The sequence below is a fragment of the Homo sapiens genome, chromosome 16 (assembly GCF_000001405.40).
Source record: "Homo sapiens chromosome 16, GRCh38.p14 Primary Assembly".
Classification (NCBI taxonomy): domain Eukaryota; kingdom Metazoa; phylum Chordata; class Mammalia; order Primates; family Hominidae; genus Homo; species Homo sapiens.
This window is the reverse complement of record NC_000016.10, coordinates 26,305,506-26,306,608: the sequence shown is the minus strand read 5'-3', so window position 1 is coordinate 26,306,608 and position 1,103 is coordinate 26,305,506.

Below are 1,103 nucleotides of genomic sequence, written 5' to 3'. Positions count from 1 at the left end.
TTCAATAATGGCATGTGCATAAGCTGGTGACCCAAATTCAATGACAAATGAAAGCAAACCAGAGAAACAGAGGGTCTTTTGCTGCTGGGAGACAGCTGAGTCCTCTTTTCTCATTGGGAATGAACCTGATAGCATGGGAAGAGGGGCTGCTGTATTCATCTTGTCTTCTGACAAAGAGGCTGGATTACTGAGTCTGAGAATTAAACCAACATGATAGCAAAAGTAAAAGACAGAGACAAACCCAGTCCTGGTTACATTGCTTAGCCCTGGATCAAGCTGTACCTGAATATATTCCCTATTGCTTTTCTAGTATGTGAGCCAATTTGGATTTTGAACAAGCCAAGTTTGCAGACTTGAATGTCTTTTTCACCTAGAATCAAACGTGACTTCATTGAAGTAGATAGTGCTTTGAAGATGATTCAGGTATCTCCCCATAAGAATAAGGAAACTAACCTAAAACTTAGAAAGAATATACATAAAACTGGTATATTCACAGAAAAATGTACTCCCTTTAGATATTTTTCTCCACTTAGTATGGGATAGGGAGGCAGATAAAAATATGACTACAATGGTAGCTGTCTCACATAATAAGAGACAATTTCCTTTATCCATTATTAATATATATGAAAAATTCAAAACGGTCTCCCTGGAGCTGTGTCTCCTCACCTTATATCATCATCAGACCTCTTTGTGGTCATTCAGTGTCTACAAGTATAAGTTTTTTGTAGTTTTTGAAAAATTCATCACAATTTTTGAAAGGATAAAACCAGCATATAACATTATATTAGTTATTTAATAAGAACAAAAATTTTTATTCTCACTAGAGCAGTGGTTCTCAAACGGAGACTCTTTTTCCTTTAGGGGACATTTAGCAATATCTGGAGACACTTTTTTGGCTGTCACACTGGAGGAGGGACTGCTGCTGTCACCTGGTAGACCAGAATGGCCAAGGGTAATGTTAAGCAGCCTATCTACACAAAAGCCTCCAAACACAGGGCTACTCAGCCTACAATTCTAATGGTGCCAAAGTAGATAAATCCTCAGCTTCAGGTCTGCTTATGTTTGCAATATTTCATCTGGATTAATCATGGCTGAATCGGCAT